This window comes from Homo sapiens, chromosome 1 (genome assembly GCF_000001405.40).
Source record: "Homo sapiens chromosome 1, GRCh38.p14 Primary Assembly".
Taxonomy (NCBI): domain Eukaryota; kingdom Metazoa; phylum Chordata; class Mammalia; order Primates; family Hominidae; genus Homo; species Homo sapiens.
Window position 1 is genome coordinate 121,542,550 of NC_000001.11, and position 19,020 is coordinate 121,561,569.

General features: G+C 36.1%; 1 pseudogene across 1 annotated transcript in view, besides 2 other annotated features; it reads left to right on the forward strand.

Moving 5' to 3' along the window:
• EMBP1 (embigin pseudogene 1) overlaps window positions 1–19,020 on the forward strand; it is a 52,777-nt pseudogene that overhangs the window by 23,438 nt on the left and 10,319 nt on the right. The window contains exons 2-3 of the transcript NR_003955.1: window positions 13,961–14,147; window positions 14,382–14,470. The product of NR_003955.1 is annotated as an embigin pseudogene 1 (transcript). The remainder of the gene's footprint in view (window positions 1–13,960; window positions 14,148–14,381; window positions 14,471–19,020) is intronic.
• Window positions 15,872–16,373: an enhancer, noted in NCBI's record as "NANOG hESC enhancer chr1:121300219-121300720 (GRCh37/hg19 assembly coordinates)". NCBI's record gives its function as "activates a minimal SCP1, AML or CMV promoter by ChIP-STARR-seq in primed H9 embryonic stem cells {active_cell/tissue: H9 hESC(primed)}" and the evidence as "EXISTENCE:reporter gene assay evidence [ECO:0000049][PMID:30033119]".
• Window positions 16,029–16,229: a silencer, noted in NCBI's record as "peak398 fragment used in MPRA reporter construct". NCBI's record gives its function as "represses an SCP1 promoter by STARR-seq MPRAs in K562 erythroleukemia cells {active_cell/tissue: K562}" and the evidence as "EXISTENCE:reporter gene assay evidence [ECO:0000049][PMID:32103011]".

The following is a 19,020-nucleotide window of genomic DNA, read 5'->3' on the forward strand; positions in this document are numbered from 1 at the left end:
TCAAGATAAGGAAAACCAACCACATTGTCTAAATCTCGTCCAGCAAGAGGTCTAGGTTAGGACCACTCAGATTCTAGGGGCAGGTGATTGAGAAGATTGAGAAGAAGAAAAGAAGTGAAAATACTTTGTTGCAGAAAAGATTCTAGCATGACTCCAATGCTGCAAATGTTATGATATTTTTCAGAGGCACTCATCAAACTTGATATGTACACTGTTGATGTACAGAGAAAAAAATTGAGACCTAACATTCATAGAGAGTCAGAGAAAGCGAAGATGGAAGAGGGATCTACCCATAGCACCACAAGTGGCAGTGGCTGTGATCAACTTTTGTTCTATATCAGTTTTTTTTTGTTTTTGTTTTTGTGTTTATTAACAGAGGTATTGATGTTTGGGGCTGGAAGATTCTTGGTTGTAGGAGGTTGTCTTCAGAATTGTAGGTTGTTTAACAGCATTCCTAGCCATTACCCACTAGATGTGAGTAACACCTGCTAAGTTATGACAGCTGGATATGTCTCCAGATATTGTCTAAACATTCCCTGGGGGACAAAATTTTCCCCATTTGAAAATTATCCCAACTGTTCTATACATTAAAAATGAGAGTCCTGCACATGTTTCCCATCCCCTTATCGTGGGAATACACATGATTTAATGATCCTGTGATTAACATTTAGTAAAGAATCTCACCATAAAGTTAGGTAATGGTGCTGAATCACAGGCATAGGACCTCACACTCTGTAAGTGGGACCTGTCTCTTCCCTCCCTCCTACTGGTGTTCAAATCCTTCCTCTCTTTAAGAATGGAGCCAAGATCCCATCTTCAATAAAGCACGTATCAGAGAAGCACATATGTTCCTGCTTCTCTGATATGTATTTACTGTATTTTTGTTAATTTTTAATTCTGTAAGTAAAAATGAGTTCCATTTTGAAAATATTAAAACATTATTTTCAGCATTAGAGTAAATTAGAAAATCTGAAAACCCTCCTGCCACACCTACGAATATCTAAAATACAGTAAACATTCTTTTAAATATATAGCTATGTACACAAAAGTAAAGAAGTTTCTACTGATCAAAATTGGTGATCAGGGCATGAAACCCGTTAACTGATATTGTGTTAGGTTTCCTGTGTTTGTTGCCAATATATTTGAGTTTTAAGAGCTACAAAAATATAAAAAAGAAAGCCTTGAGTTCATGCAAGGAGGAGAGTTGGAACTGAAAACCTGCAGGAAACTATCCTTCCTAGGCTGTAAATGTAGGGAAAGGTTTGATTTAGGGAAGAAAATCAGCCGACAGCACAAGATGACAAGTTGGCTTCTTTCTTTTAAAGTTTTGTTAGGCATTTAAACCAAAAGATTCCCAGTGTTATCTGCCAATTAAAAATAATATGAATAAAAATAATTTTTTAAGAAAACCTCCAAACCCCCAAAGATTTCCCTTATTATTTAAAGACGTGGGCCTGTCCTCAACACAGTTTAAATTGCAAATTTACATTACCTGCATTATACTGTACAGGAGCCTCCGAGCTGAGAAATAACACAAAAATGACCCTGGCAGGTAGTACTTCCGCAGGAAAACAATGAAAAACCCTCTGTGGAAGAATGCATTGTCCATCCTGGTGACATAATCCCTGCTGTTACATGTCTCAACATGTCACAAAACAAAAATATAAAAAACAAACACACAGTCCCTAACAGAGCTAAGGAGCAGTAGGATTAGACATTCCAGAGCTTCAGATTATAGAAATACTAGGTAGAGAAATAAAAGAAATATTAAAAACATGAGAATGAATATTATACTGTTTTTTAAAAAGACCAAAGCAGGTTCGAAAAATATCCAAATAGAACTTCAGGAGGTGAAATAAAAAACTTGACTGATGAGGTTCAAGTCTCATTGAATTACCCACCATTTCTATCTCTCTTCTCTCTCCTCTTTTCCAGTGGTATACTCTATTCAATGTGTTTTTTCCCATGCTCTGTGTGTGTGTGTGTGTGTGTGTATGTGTGCATCCATAAAAACTATGTAGTATTGTTTGTATTCTTTAGTTTTAGTGGTATTAGTCCATATGTATTGTTCTGAAATTTTTTTTTTTTGTCATTCAACATTAGCTTTTGGCGATCTAGTCATATTGCATATGAATCTAGCTTGTTTTTTTTAAAACTTGTATGCACAGTATAAATACACCAGCTTACTTACACATTTTTTTCCTAACGGACCCTAGTTGGCTAATATATTTTTTGTTATAAACCATGTAGCAAGGGACACCCTACATATATCTCTCTGGGCATAATTGTGAATGTTTCTCTGTGATAAATACCACAAAGTAGAATTGCTCAGTTAGAAATTATGCACATCTTTATTTTAATATATACTTCCAGATTGGTCTTCAAAACATCTTGACAGTTGGCCCCTTCCCCTGACCCACATACTAGGCTTATATTTTATTTTTTGAATTAATTTAAATGAGGTAGGCAGAAATTTTGGATACTGAATTTTTACTTTTTATAGAAGTTGCAAATATTTTTTCCCACTTTAAACTTTTAGGTGGTTTTTTTAATAGTGAAGAAGTTTCATTATATGTTTCCTATTATTTGCATACTTTTCCACCTTTCACTTTTTAACCCATTTATGATATAGTTTTGTTTTGCATGTGAGAAGGAACTAATTTTATGGTTATTATTTTGTACTGTTAGCCAGCGTCTCAATGCTCTTAACTGAATCGTTCTCCTTTTCCTGATAGCTTTGAAATAGCACTCTAATCATATTTCAGTTCCTAAACTCTGTTCTGTTTCTCTACTGTTACATTGTTTTACAAAGTGATTAAAGTACTCCCCAAAGTAAGAAGTACATTTTACTTTGTAACCTGATGCACCAACTGCATGTTCACACACATATGAAACAAAATATTCATCCAATAACACCTACACCTACACCTAATAGGCTTGTTATACTCTGATAATTTCTCTTTTACTCCAATCTATTAAAAAACAAATCTGGTGATAACTATTAAATTGATTTCCTGATCCACTAATAGATTTTTGCTTGCAGTCTGAAAAGTTCTGCCTATTTTATTTCATTAATTTCTTGGTATTTTATGGCATAATTAACACGTTAGTATTATTTTTAAAAACATCTTTTTATCTCTGTTCTTTTTAGAAAAACAGATTTTCTTTCTTGGACTTTCATTCTTTCACATGCATTTCTTTTTTTTATTATACTTTAAGTTTTAGGGTACATGTGCACAACGTGCAGGTTTGTTACATATGTACACATGTGCCATGTTGGTGTGCTGCACCCATTAACTTGTCATTTAACATTAGGTATATCTCCTAATGCTATCCCTCCCCCCTCCCCCCACCCCACAACAGGCCCCGGTGTGTGATGTTTCCCTTCCTGTGTCCATGTGTTCTCATTGTTCAATTCCCACCTATGAGTGAGAACATGCGGTGTTTGGTTTTTTGTCCTTGCCATAGTTTGCTGAGAATGATGGTTTCCAGCTTCATCCATGTCCCTACAAAGGACGTGAACTCATCCTTTTTTATGGCTGCATAGTATTCCATGGTGTATATGTGCCACATTTTCTTAATCCAGTCTGTCATTGATGGACATTTGGGTTGGTTCCAAGTCTTTGCTATTGTGAATAGTGCCACAATAAACATATGTGTGCATGTGTCTTTATAGCAGCATGATTTATAGTCTTTTGGGTATATACCCAGTAATGGGATGGCTGGGTCAAATGGTATTTCTAGTTCTAGATCCCTGAGGAATCGCCACACTGACTTCCACAATGGTTGAACTAGTTTACAGTCCCACCAACAGTGTAAAAGTGTTCCTATTTCTCCACATCTTCTCTAGCACCTGTTGTTTCCTGACTTTTTAATGATCGCCTTTCTAACTGATGTGAGATGGTATCTCACTGTGGTTTTGATTTTCATTTCTCTGATGGCCAGTGATGATGAGCATTTTTTCATGTGTCTTTTGGCTGCATAAATGTTTTCTTTTGAGAAGTGTCTGTTCGTATCCTTCGCCCACTTTTTGATGGCTGCACTTCTTAAAATTGGGTTCTGTAAAAAGTACTTTTGGAATTTGACTGATTCTTCACTGACTCTGTAGATTTATTTTGGGGAAAATTAATGTTTTTATACTATTGTATTGCCATCTGTGATTTAGATCTCATTTGATTTAGATTATCTGTTGTAGTTAATTGTAGTTATTTATGTTCGAGTTATATGTCCCCTGCTAGATTAGTAATTTTTAAATCCCCTCCGTATCACATACAGCATATAAAAGTACTAAACACATTTGTTTTGGCCAATTGATGAGTCAACTGTGTGAGACAAGAACTTCTCATGCATTTCTTGCATATCCCGTAAAGTACTTTCCGCCTAGAATTCCTCATATAAATCATGAGGCAGAACTTTAATATGCTTCAACTTTCAGTCTAAGGCAAGGTGCCTTATCTGTCTAAAGAAGTGATTCATGTTTTAAGTACTATATTCCAGGAGCTACAACCACTTCAACAAAAATTTATTGAAAGCCTGGTTTACAGTGTTGAACGTGGCAGACTTCCCTTTCTGCCCTCCTTCTCCCATGTCATACAGTATATGTTTCAGTGGGAAAGGCAATGAATAAGTAAGTAAACAAATTAATATGAAAGGCAAAACTGGACAGTGCCAAATGCTAGGAAGTATATAAAGGAAGTGTGATAGAGAGAGTCTGTTGTTAGCAGTGTTGTAAGGTTAGAGGAGCCCTTTCTGCAAAGGAGGCATGTGACCTGAGACAGTCAGTCACTTGGGGTGTGTACAAAATATATGTACTGCCTCCCTGAGTGTCTGCATGGCTAGCACCTTAGAAGTTGATACCATGAGACATAAACCATTGTAAGACTAAATGTCAAGGACTGGCATCAGGGTGTAAACACCTGCAGTTTAGAGAAATTCATTACCAAGGTAGCAGGCCATGCTTTTCAGTTTACATTAGGTATTTATGAGCCCTTATCTTGATCTGGTGTGTACTGAGGCTTGTGTTTACCTCTCCTTTGATGAAATCCAGTTACTTTTATTGTATTTTATTTTTTAAATTCTGGGGTACATGTGCAGGATGTGCAGGTTTGTTACATAGAGAAACATGTGCCATGGTGGTTTGCTGTACCTATCAAACCATCACTTAGGCAGTAAGCCCAGCATGCATTAGCTCTTTTCCCTAATGCTCTGCACCCCCTGCCCTCCCTCAACAGGCCCCAATGTGTTTGTTCCCCTCCCTGTGTCCATGTGTTCTTATTGTTCAGCTCTCACTTATAAGTGGGAACATGTGGTGTTTGGTTTTCTGTTCCTGTGTTAGTTTGCTGAGGATAATGGCTTCCAGCTTTGTCCATGTCCTTGCAAAGGACATGATCTTGTTCCTTTTTGTGGCTGCATAGTATTCCATGGTGTATATGCACCACATTTTCTTTATCCAGTCTATCATTGATGGACATTTGGGTTAATTCTGTGTCTTTGCTGTTGTGAATAGTGCTGCAATGAACATACGTGTGCATGTGTCACTTTTAAATCCTTTGTTCCATGCGATGTAACCATGATGGGGAAAGAAGATGAAGGGATGAGGAGGCCAATCTTGAATGCTTTCCACACCCTCTCCAGTCTTCACTAATTGTAGCAACATTTTTTATCAGTTTTATACAGTTATCTGTGTGTGTGTGTGTGTGTGTGTGTGTGTGTAGGTGGTGTAGGTGGGGGTTCTGCTTACGTTTTCCTCTGATTTATTTCTGAAACAATTCTGCTACTAAAATAATTTTGAAATCCATTAGAATAATCCATTTCAAAATTTAAATGGTTCTTGTACTGGGGAATCAAATGATATGACATTGTCATTTGCTGTTCCTTTCTTCCATTGTGTTGAAGTGGATATGTGCAAAATGGTTCAGAATAAATGAAAGCTTTTTATTGGGGTAGAGAAGGCAGAAATTAGATATAAGGATTGGAGGCAAGTTGTTATGGCTTGAGATGATTTTGATTTGTAAATGTAGAAGAGATGGAAAAAATACTAAAGTGTGATTTATAGCTACAAGAACAAAAGGGCAGGACTTGCCATGGAGGGGAGCATACAGGGCCAGGGACTGGCTGATCTGAGTCCTGAACTGCTACCTCAGCCTGGATCTTGTCCCCTGTGTAACCTCAGGTATTGTCTTTCAGATGTGCTGAACTGGTACTATGATTACCACTTCGCAGAATTTATTCTGGGGACCAAATATTATCATATGTTCTAGATATTTGTGAGCTGACAAGTGACATCAGTGCTATGTAATTTTAATCGAATGGAAGGAGTGCATAGATGAAGTATCTAGTGTAAATCTTGATAGGTGTATATGGATTAGGTTAATGATCTCAAGCCCAGACACAGTCTATAGCCAGTTAAGCAGGAAATAATTTGTTGAATAAAGGATTTTGGCTAGCAGAATTGATGAGAAAACTGGAAATCAAGTTCTGGCAATGCCAAGGACCTCAGGATGACAGACAGCAAGGATTACTGGAAGAGTCTGCTTAAGATATTTCTGCGGGCACTGGACTCTTGTTACTAGGGCCTAGAATAAAGGCACGGAATATATTTTTAGTAAAATTGTTGAACGAGTGGATAAATGAAAAGCATGTGGTAGGTGTTCAGTAAATAAGTGTTAAATGAGTGAGTGAAAGAATAATGAGGCACAATCACTGCTAGACACTTGCCATTGCTGTTGTGATTAATTTTCAGTTCTGCCTAGGTCCCTAACTCCCTCCCTCTAACTTTAAAGCCATGAGTAGAAGGTTATAATTACAGTGGCCAAACCCTAGTGCTCAGCTGGGCAGAGAGAAGAAATATCTGTTCTTAGGTTTCCGAAGTGAGTGAGTACTTTGCCTATCACCAAACCTTACACGGATGGGAAGGGTGTTCGGATTCTGGTTGTCCAAAAATATGATCAGTGGTCCCCGCTATAGTGTTGGATTAACTTCATGTTAATTATTTGGAAACAGTGGCAACAAATGTATTTGGTTACTAAAGCAATGTAACCATTTACTATAGTTTTCCTGTAACTGATGTACGCAATAGTTGCAGTGTTGTTCTCTGTGCTGTAGAAAAATATATTTAATTATTGGATTATTACCCAATGTTATTGTCTCAAATTAAATACTACATTGTTGAAACAAGAGACATGCAATTCTGGAATTCAAATAGAATTGTTTTTGTTTTTCTTTGAAATGATGTTAAATCAGTTTAGAAAGTAGAGAAATAACCATTACATGCCTTAATTTCTGTTACTAATTGAAGTGGAGGAAAACAGTGACTGATAGAAGCTTTGTTTAGTGAAATTCAACTAGCATCTCCTCTTAAATAATTTTAACACATTTTCCAAAATATTGCCAAATCTTTGATGAATTATTTTGGAAAACCTGGCTTCATTTGTGTAGAAACCATTCACGTTTTCTGGTATTTCTCTTTCTTTTGAGGATGTATGTGTAAAAAAAAAATTCTAAAAGTTTGAAAATAGGCTCAGCTCATATAACACCAGCCACATAGTTCATAGGTCTTGAGGGAGTCTCCAGGGATTACTTCGAGATTTTATATACATATAAAAACGTGTATCAAAGTGTATAAGTACTACATTTTACTCAAGTTGGGTTTATATAATTTCAGGTTTCTCTGTGCACATTGGTGATTTCACATTTTAAGTGTATGGGATTCAGGAAGCACATGTGTTTTAGGCTGTATCACATTGGTGTGGCACTAATCAGATGGCATGTAAATAACTTGTTGATAGGATCACTTAATAAACTATCATGATTCTTCAATCAATATGAGACTTATTTGGGAGAGAAGTGAAATTACAAGAATCAAGGGAATAGTATTATGTTTTATAAATTTTGGATATAAACTTTGATAATTCTTATTCATAAGTTAACCCCATATGTTTAAGACGCACAACATTAATGATAAAAATAAGATCCATTGTATCCTTTTTATATAGGGGTGTTGGCCTCATGTTAGTGTGGCCTTCTGTTTCTGTAAGGATTCTGGATGTTTAATAGACATTTTGGGTTGCATCATGAAGCTTTATTGACTTTTATGGTGAAATTGTTACAGGGCAGGTGAATCCCAACAGTGGGGTTTAGCCTGAGAAGGTTGGCTCAGGAAAGAATTCAAGAGCGAGCTGGTGGTAGAAAAATCAGCTTTATTGAGGCAGGGGTGTTACAGCTCTGTGACTTCTCCTTCAGAGCAGGGGTACCCCCTGGGCAGTGTGTCAAGAGTAGCAGCTCAGGGGCAGTTCTGCAGCCATGTTTATACTACTTTTAATTATGTGCAAATTAAGGGGCAGGCTATTCAGAAATTTCTAGAAAACAGAAGGTAACTTCTGGATCATTGCCATGGAAAGGGATGGTAACTTCTGGGTATAGCCATGGCAATGGTAAAATGTCATGGTGCTGGTGGGCGTGTCTTATGGGGAGGAGCTTTCGTTTCCTCTTCCTTGTTTCTGTCAGTCTTCAATCTGGTCCAGAGTCACATTCCACCTCCTACCTCATTATGAATAATGAAAAGTCAGGCTGATAGGGCTCTGTATTTTCTATCTTGGCTTCTATCAGAGTTGTCCCACCTGATCCGTCCTGTATGTCACAGTTCACTTAACTGTTTTTAGTAAGACTTTCTGTCTTTAAAGCATGTTTGGAAACACTGTCCTATGCAATAAATTTTAATTGGCTTCTTCCATATTTTCTTTTTCTTAATAAAGAACAAAACAGATTTTTATTTCTAGTGAAATGGTTTACAAGATTGGGTCCTGAATAGACCCAAGAAAATCTAAATGTCATTTCTCTGAAGACTGCAAATTGCTGAAAGGCCCATATACTTTAAAAATGTTATCTATGAAAATAAGAAATTATTTAGACAGGTATAAATTACTACATGGTTTTAAGAACAGTCTTAAATATATGTTGCAGAAACAACAAATTGTTATCGTTTTAGAAATGCAGATGTCATATATGTTTTTGCAGCACTCTAAAGCAGCAAAAATGCATTGCAGTTGTGCAGTATTAAGGAAGTTGAAACATTGTTGACTGAGCTCACATTAGTTTGTTGGCTAACCACAAAATATGTAAAAAGATAGAGCTTTTTGCATGTTTTTGATGCTGTGATTTCTAGACAGGAAGGAAAGCAAACTGCAGAAGCACCTGCAAAGTGTTATAGGAAACAGTGAGACAACGATTAGGGCTTGGAGGATGGCACCATTAAGAAAAACTGTGTTGCATTTTAAGTTATGTAAAACTATGTTTAGTTGAAAATGTGTATTTTTAAAATATTTTGATTGCACTGTTCATTTATCATTACATTCACATTGGTATATAGCTACACTGTACATTTCTTTAATCTTCTATTAATAGTTTCTTTTATTTAAAATCTTGGTTCAACAGTTTGAAGGTAATGAAGTTAATTCCATTGTAATGAGAATTTAATATGTTTCAGAGTTGGTATATTCTGTTGGTTATCACCATCTGGACTCAGGCATACCTAATCTGAGATTCAGTGTTGCCTTTGTCTTGATGTGTGATCTTAGACAAGATAGTCAGCTTCTCTTTGCCCCATCTCTAAAGTTGGAATTGTAACATTGATACTTACTTCATAAAGCTGTTGTGAAGATTAAATGATTTAATCAACATATAACCCTTAGCACCATATATGATAGTTTTTATAATATTCCCCAGTGAGATAATGGTGAGAAGAAGTAAGCGGGCTTTTATTAATTGCTATATTATATTACTGTTGGCGTTTCTTATGATAAGAACTTTTTACAATCTCATGAAATATTATTGTCCCACCTTACAAATAAGGAAACTGATGTCTAATACAAAGATACTTTGATTTGGAAATGCAAGGTATAGAATCAAGGCAGTTAAACAATTTGAGTTTTGCTTTGGTTGGAGCAAGAAAGGCTGGCCAAGAGAAATTAGGTAATTTGCCTGGTCTTGGTGAAAGATAATGAAGGCCAATAATAGGAGGGTTGGATAAAACTGGGCAAATTTTTTTGACATTTTAGCAGTAGAATCAACTAAATACTACTGCATGTGATTCGGTGTTACAGGTCAGCGCAAGGGAATATTAATGGATCTCTCTTGGATATTTTGAGTTTGAAGTTCCCATGGGATATCCAGATTTAGATGCTCCGTAGACACCTGGAGCTGTAAAATAAAAAAAAAAGACTTCAGTGGAGATTCTAATTTTGTAAGTAAAGAGCATTAGAGTTAATAGTTGAATCCAACAAAGGAGTGCCAAATTGAGAAGTAAAGAGACCAGAGAGCAAAATCCTGATGGGCACCCAACATTTAAAAGGTAGTTGGAATTATTTGGTGTGGCTAGCAGAATGTTTAAAATATGCTATGATAGTGAAATAGAGCACAGTAAAGGGAACTGCAAGGAATAAGGTAGTCTCTGGTAATATATGTATTCTAGAGACATCAAATGTTATTTTTCTTTTTGAGCATTAAATTCAATTCAGCAATTTTGCAATTATACCAGCAGTTATTTCAAGCATGTGCTCACAAAGCACTTTGCACGAGCTGTACTTCACTATCTGCAAACCTTGCATCTGGTCCTTGCTTATGGAAGCATTTTGTAAAGTTTCAAATGTAGTTAAAAGTGATAGAATTTTTTTTTTTTTTTTTTTCCTGAGACAGGGCCCTGCTTTATCACCCTGCCTGGAGTGCAGTGGTGCCACCTTAGCTCACTGCAGCCTCAACTCTCGGGCTCAAGAGATCCTCCCATCTCTGCCTACGACTAGATGGGACCACAGGCATGCACTACCAAGCCTGGCTAACTTTTTCATTTTTTTTTTTTTTTTGTAGAGACGAGGTCTCACCATGTTGCCCAGGCTGGTCTGGAATGCCTGTGCTCAAGCAATCCCACACACCTCAGCCTCCCAAATTACTGGGATTACAGGCATGAACCACTGCACCTGACCATTTTATTTGAGTTATATTATTTTTCTTTCTACATTTTAGCTCTGCATTCTACATTTAATCATACTATTCCATTATTGAGAATGAGAAGAGCTTGAGAAATTTGTTTATATGATGCACTGCCATCTTCCAAACACAACTCCTTCTCTTCCCCTTAAGAGTAATTACCACTATTCTGATTTTTATGCAGTCACTTTCTGGCTTTTCTATATTGTTTTATTACCCAGATATGCATCCCTAAATGTTACAGTTCAGTTTTGCTTTTCTTTTAATGGTGTTTTTTGAGTATCTTATAATCTTCAGGTGCCCCAAACATAGCACCTGACGTCCAATACAAAGACATCTCTCTCCCTTTTAAAATTTATCTATTGAAAAAACCAGGCCAGGTGCGGTGGCTCATGGCTGTAATCTCAGCACTATGGGAGGCCAAGGCAGGCAGATCACCTGAGGTCAGGAGTTTGAGACTAGCCTGGCCAACATGGTGAAACCCCATCTCTGCTAAAAATACAGAAAAATTAGCCAGGCATGGTGGCAGGCACCTGTAATCCCAGCTACTTGGGAGGCTGAGACAGGAGAATCTCTTGAATCCGGGAGATAGGGGTTGCAGTGAGCTGAGACAGCACCATTGCACTCCAGCCTGGGCAACAAGAATGAAACTCCATCTCAAAAAAAAAAAAAAGAAAAAGAAAAAACCGGATCATTTATTTTGTAGAATTTTCCCAGAATCTGGATTTTGTTGATTACTTTCATGAAATGTAGGTTAATGTGTTCCTCCATAATCTGTATTTCCTGTAAACTGGGAATTGGATCCAGAGACTTAACCAGTTTCAAGAACCTCCTCCAGCACCCTTTTTGACAAGACTATATCTTAGGTAGTGGGGTATTCTTCCTCAAGAGAGACATAATTCTGTTTTTGAAATTATTGCAGCAGTTGATGCAAAATGCCTAGATCCATGATTCACTAGGGGTTGCAGCATCATTATGGTATATTTGTATGATTTCTTTTTTATTCATTTGCTGGAATTTTTCTATAAAGAGAACGTTTACTTTCTCTACTGTTTGGTTAGCCAGTGATACAGTTAGTGTAGGACAAACAAGGTACGTGCTTAATATTTTTTCTTTATTTGCCACTGTTCAAAATTAAAGTTAACTTTTTTGTATTTTCCCTAAGTATGTATGTGTGTGTGTGTGTGTGTATTGTTAGAGAGTTAGTGGTTGGGAACCTGAGGGTTAAACTGAAGAAAGAAAAGACAAGTAGAGACTCTTACTGCTCTTGCTCTAGTGCACCCTTGCACAAACCTGCACGTTGTGCACATGTACCCTAAAACTTAAAGTATAATAATAAAAAGAAGTGCATGTGAAAGAATGAAAGTCCAAGAAAGAAAATCTGTTTTTTTAAAAAGAACAGAGATAAAAAGATATAGAGTTTTTAAAAATAATACTAACATGTTAATTATGCCATAAAATACCAAGAAATTAATGAAATAAAATAGGCAAAACTTTTCAGACTGCAAGCAAAAAAAGCTTGTACTTACCTGCTGGGTCAGAGGTCCTGAAATCTCAGGCTTTGGAAGTGGGGTTGGAGTGGAAGGGTGGGGAGTCCTTAACCATTCCATATTCCTTGCCAAACTGTCAGGGAGGAACCTTTTCTCTATAATTCTCGGCAATTTCAGGCTCAGTGAATTAAACTGACAAAAGATAGATTAGCAAAACAAAAAGCTTATTTAATCACATATGGACAAAAGTTAGAAAAACATGTAGCTCAAAGGGGCAGTTAAAAGTGGGGGCTTATATACCATCTTAGTAGGGTAAGGAGAGGAGGAGAAAGGCCACTTATGGAAAAGTGAAATGAGTTTTAGGAAAGATAAATGAGCCCTTTAGATAACAGGTGGAAGATATGATAGTTTTGTGACAGTGTCTGTTTAGGTATGGTGTGAAGACTTCTCATCTTCAGTGTCCATTCTCCCTATTGCTCCTAGGGAGGGGATTTATGACAGTGGAGGTTTTTTGGAGTTCCTTTGAAAGGCTCTGCTTTTAGTCAGAGTAGCTATTTTGGGAACTCGAATGCCTTCTGCTCAAAATAATTTGTATGCTATCCTGGCATATTCTGGACCCCTTCAGTGTGTGTGTGTGTGTGCGTGTGTGTGTTTGGTGTGTGTGTGTGTGTATTGTTTTCAAGATAAACACCTCAACTTCCCTAAAGCTTCTCTAAGGGTTAGCTCCTTCTCTTCCCACCTGTAGATGGGAAGAGAAATTGAGGACCTTTCAGACTACTTTTTAGGTACAAGTTTAAAAAATTTGCTAAGAGGGAAGATCTAATGTTAAGTGTTCTTATGATAATCAATTAATCAATCCAAAATAAATATCTATTTTGAAAGTCAGAAAAAAAGATAAACACCTCATGAATTCATACTGATACTGAAATTCAGTTAAAATTCAGAACTACTGGATGCTTATTTAAATTCTCTGTCCTGTACCTATGTCTATATCCAGTCCCTACAGGTTCTGAAGAAGACTAGGAATGGTTAGAATATAATATATCACTCAAATCCATGTTACACACAAAACATTCTCATAATAACTACCAACAACATGATTACTCAAAATTATTGAAACAGGCATTCCATTCTCACCCATGAGTGTGTGTTTGTATTTACAGTTATGCTGTTTTTACATTGTCAGAGCATATGGCACATGTTATAGGGTACTCTCTACCCTATATTCTGCTCAGTACAGAGCTTAAGGAGATAACTATCACAGCTTTAGGTTTTTTTTAAATTGTGTTAATGTTGGATCAAAACTTTAGGTGTGCATATAAAAGGGAATAAGAAAGGGAACCAACTATGTTGATAGAGGAATAATTCTTCAAATGAATGTTACATTAAGAAATTGTCAATAAAACACTACTGTTAATAATTTAAAAGGTTTTATATATTAGATCCCTCTGAATATAACTTTCACATTTTGTCCTCTTTTGTGCTAATAGAACATTCTAGTATGCCAGTAGAAAAAAACATCACTTTAGAAAGGCCTTCTGATGTAAATCTCACATGCCAGTTCACAACATCCGGGGATTTGAATGCAGTAAATGTGACTTGGAAAAAAGATAGTGAACAACTTGAGAATAATTATCTTGTCAGTGCAACAGGAAGCACCTTATATACCCAATACAGGTGAGTATACAAATTTTAACCTACCTTGCTCACCAAAAGTAGCTTAATTCTAAATACTTTTGCTGACTGAGCATTCTTTCCTCTGCAGCCACTTGAATGTTATGCTAATATTCTAATTTGCATATTTACAGAATTATTTCTCTTTTTAAATTTTGATTAATGGCTAAGTCTTTTCATTTTCATTAAGAAGGTTTTGAGAACTAAGCCTATATTAATAACTTGAATTATCTTTAGGTTCACCATCATTAACAGCAAACAAATGGGAAGTTATTCTTGTTTCTTCTGAGAGGAAAAAGAACGAAGGGGAACATTTAATTTCAAAGGTCAGTATTAATAACTTGAGGAATAGTTAATAACTTCAGCATTATGTTCTTAGATTTCTCAATCCTGTAATTTTTAAATTATTTTTACAATAGTAAACATAATATAGCTGAAAGAAAGTCATATGCTTTCCAGAGCCACAAGAGGCAGCCTTGAAAATGGTCTTGTATCCCGCAAGTCCACTTCCTTCCTGCTTCTATTCCTCAATTTAAAGCACAGGTTTTAGTTCAAAAGGCCAGCCTACCACATTATTAGTGAATTATATCAGTCGCCTGAATTTCTTTATTTATCCCTCTAAATTCCTAGCTTTTATAATAGTCTTCCACATCTCTAAGTTATTGTGGTCCCAGCCTCTGAGAGTGTGGGTTGATGTTCTATATCCATAGCTCCAGGACATGGGATTTTAGGATCCATAAAACTTAAAAATAATATGGAGATGCACAAAGGGTTGCCTACTTTTTATTTCACAAAGTAAGGAGGTTTAAAGATATATACAAGCCCCAGAATATCATCCACATTTCTTTTCCTTGGAAACAAACGAATTAAAATATTTTACTGTTACCATCATTAAACCAAAACTCAAGGAGGTCTCAATCTCATAATAAAGACTAGTTGTTTGAGTTAGATAATTATCATTTTGAAAAACCCAGTATTTTGTGGTGATTAGTGAACCATAATATCATTCTGGTATTTGGGAAATGCAATCTGTTGCCCTATTAACTACGTTGGACTCTGCTTTGCACTAATTTCCCAGGAAACATGAAAATTGTAACTTTTCCTAAAACTCCTAAAGCCCGACTGTCTGCTGTGACAGAATGTGGATGCTATTCTCAAGGCTCCATCAACAGCAGAATGGCTTGCTTCACCATTGCCATGATCTAATGGTTCACTCCTTTGTCCCTCATTGCATCCCTTCTGCACTCACAGAGTCATTTTATTTTTATGGCTTTGTAATTGTTCCAGTGTGGTGAATATAATAAATTCTTGTATTTATATATCTTGGTCTCTCCAAAAGCAGAAACTAGTATCATTCTTTGATTATTTTAGTCATGTATATTCTTTCTTAACTTTTTTCCCTCCATTTGCCTTTAACTTAGTGAAGGACTGGATAACACCATATACATTTCCTTTCAGTTTCCTTTTCCTTTCGCATTTCATTTTTCCCTCCCCTGCCCCATCTGCCCTTCCCCTCCTCTTTCCTTAATCTCTCTTTTCCTTTCCTTTTTTCTGTCCTTTCTTCCCTCCCACCTTTTGAGTTCATTTCCTTCCTTTTTTCCTCCCTTTCTCTTTCTTTTTCTTCCCAGTGAGCAAAAAATATTAAACACACAAAATTTCAGTGAACATGTTTTATTGAGTTTTCAAAAAATATGTAAAGAAGGCCTACAAATTCTGAGGAAATGCTCACAGAATCTTGTGACTTAAAATGCTCCCAAGATATTCAACTTTAAACACTGTTTTCATTTTTTTTTTTTCTAAGACATTGTGCTCTGGAAATATATACTAGCAATACCTGCTTTCAATATTGAAGATAACACATTTTTCTCATTAGTTTTGATAATTACTTAAATTATTATGTGGAAGTGATCATTCTTGTGTCTAATGTGAAGATTAACAAGCATTTTACTTTTCAACATACCAATACACTGAATTGCAAGTATTCACACGGAAGGCCTCTTGATTCTCCAGCTGTTTTGAGATGACTAAGCTGATTTTGGCTGGTGTCAGCAGCATTGACTCAAGGCCTAGGATTTAAATCAAGGCTTTAAGGAAAGCAAAGAATCACTGAATACTTCCTTTTTTTTCTTTTCTAGTTGTCTTGAAGCAGTGTAGGTTAGCTAATTTGTTTTTAATGCCCATTTAACATTAACGTAACTTTTAAGTATGTATTATATCTTGAAGATATTTATAAAATTAATAAGTTGGGTCCTTTCAAATCTTCCTTGGTAAAATAAAAATTCTCTATAATTCATCTAAATTGAATATTGCTTAGAGAAATAATTTTACTTGAGTAGTATTTAAAGACATCTGTACATTATTCATATTATAGTTATTTAATAGTTCTGAAAGGCTTATAAAATGGTGTATATTTTTATAAATGTCCTATTATATTATTTCTCCTTATGGTTTACTTAATGGTTTTTCCTAAGAAGAAGAATTATCTTTTCTTAGAATACTTACAACTGCATGTAGATGAAAAGGCTGTTTTATTCTCTATTTTAAATTGAGCCAAAGATAAATTTTTCTGCCATTGACTACATGAGCCACCTATAGTGCATGAGCCTGAGTCTTCAGAACAATTCATCAGCAAAGTCCCTGCTGCTGTCTTTAAGGGTGCTGGTTGATTTACTACTACAAGGTTGTAAAAGGCCCTCAAGATTACTGATTAGTTCAATGCACAAAAACCTGCTGACTTTATGTGTTTCACTGTTGATGCTAGGACAGAGGAGACAGCAAAAGTGTACACTGGAAGTTTGTGACTGCTAATATATTGCTGATAACTTGCCACCCGAGAAGGAGAAAGATGAGTGATGGTCTATAGTGTTTCTCAGTAGTGGATCAAACATTCTGAGTGGTTGCTGAAAGCTTCCATAATATTTATCAATGTTAAAATATCTTAGTAGAAAGTATGAAGAAATTTAATTGGTAAAGAACAAGAACTTTTTGGAAGTCATGATGAGATTTTGATACTACCAAATGTAGTGAAGCCTGTCATAGCTCAACTATCTGTCTTCTCCTGGAAGTATCTAAAAATTCAAAGTATGGAAAGGTAGCATAGTAGAATCAGCTGGGACTTCAGCCCTGGATCCCAGTGTTGAAGTATAGTTAGCATTCTTTTACTACATGGAGTAATCTTTTTTCCTAATTTGGTGATACCTAAAAGTCTTTGAACCAGTATGACATTTAGGCCAATTTGTTCTAGTGCATGAATATACAAATATAGTCTCCAATTTTACAACTCCAGAGAGCTGTTACTTTCACTGGGTATATCCAAACCCCATCTTCCTAGAAACTAGCCTGAATCAGCAATTTCACCACCTTCAAACCTGGTTTATTCCAACCCTAGCACTCTTATGCATCCGACTTTATGCAAAGTCTTAAAAGGTCAACAGGGCACATTAGAATACTGTCTCACTGTCCTTATATTAATAAATATTTCAAAATATAAGCTGTGGCCCCAAACCCCAGAATAGTTCAAACAAATGTCATGTTCCCTGAACATAGTGCATTTTATAATTTAAATCCACACTGCTGTTATTAGCCATATATAGCAGAACAAAAGCATGGTTTATGGTATTTTAGTCGTTAGTCTAGGGGATAATCAAGAAAACTGAAGAGATGGCAAGAAAACAGAATTTTGGTTTCAGCTTTTCCATGTTGTCACTCAGTCATTGTCAGCTACCTGCAATTTACAGCCTGATCTTAATATTTAGTTGGGATGGTTTAATAACATAGTCATGTGTTCCTCATCAAATCTCATAGAATACTCAACTTTCTTGAAAAGCCCCTTGCAGCTTCCAGTATGCTTCCCAAGCAGGTGGCTCTTCGAGGAATACTGAAAAGCAGTGTATATTCTGCCGGGTTTTCCCCCAAGAATTACCTTTCTTCCACATTTTATTCTTAGCCTGTGGCTAAATTTTGGTATTTTGAACCTATTTATCCTGGATAAAATTTCCAGGATAGGAAATCTTTAGTTGATACGAATTTATGAAAGGCCAGCAAAGAGTTAGAGAAAGTGGGAACAAGGAACAAAGGAAAATTAACAGAAAGAGAACAGCGTAAGAAAGAAAATAAGATTTAAAAATGCTTTCATGTGGTTTTGTAAAAAATATATATATACTAATATCCATTATGATAAATTTCCTAGTCAAGGAAGGATATTTTCCTGCTAAAGCGTGACCCAATTGCCAGAACGAAACATGTAGAGATTGAGAAATGGGATATCTGAGAGATAAACAACCTGGGAAAGCGGAAACTGTGTCCTTAACTACTTAGTGTCTAATGCAAAACCTGCACTCCAAAGCAGCGTTTGTTTTAAGGTGAGCCTAACAGGGCTGTAGAGGTCATTGCCCTAGTAATGCACTAATGCATCTTGTGCCTCTTCAGATGGAACTCAGGAAGTGTGGCTGCTCTTCCTCTCGGGTTGTAGGGAACCTTGTGGCTTCAGCAAAGATTCCCTATTTTAGCCAAGCTCCAATCTCTGCTTATCTGCAGGTCTTTAGTTGACATGATTTCATCTATTCTTTCCCTACTGGCAAACTAAACATATAAATGAAAAAAGTAAACACACAAACACACGCATGTGCACACACACGGACACACAAAACCAAAAGAAGCATAAAACCTGCTAAAATTCCAAAAAGTAAAAGAAAAAATTAGCAAAATAATCTTAGTTGCTGAGTCTACATCTTCAGTGTAAGTGTACCTTCTATAATACATCCTTCAAGGTCAATCAGAAGGAACTGATTGCACCTGTAGGCTTTTCATTGTACTGTTTATGCTCTTATCTTTTAATATACCAAGTTATTTACATCCTTAAAACATTTTTTTTCTA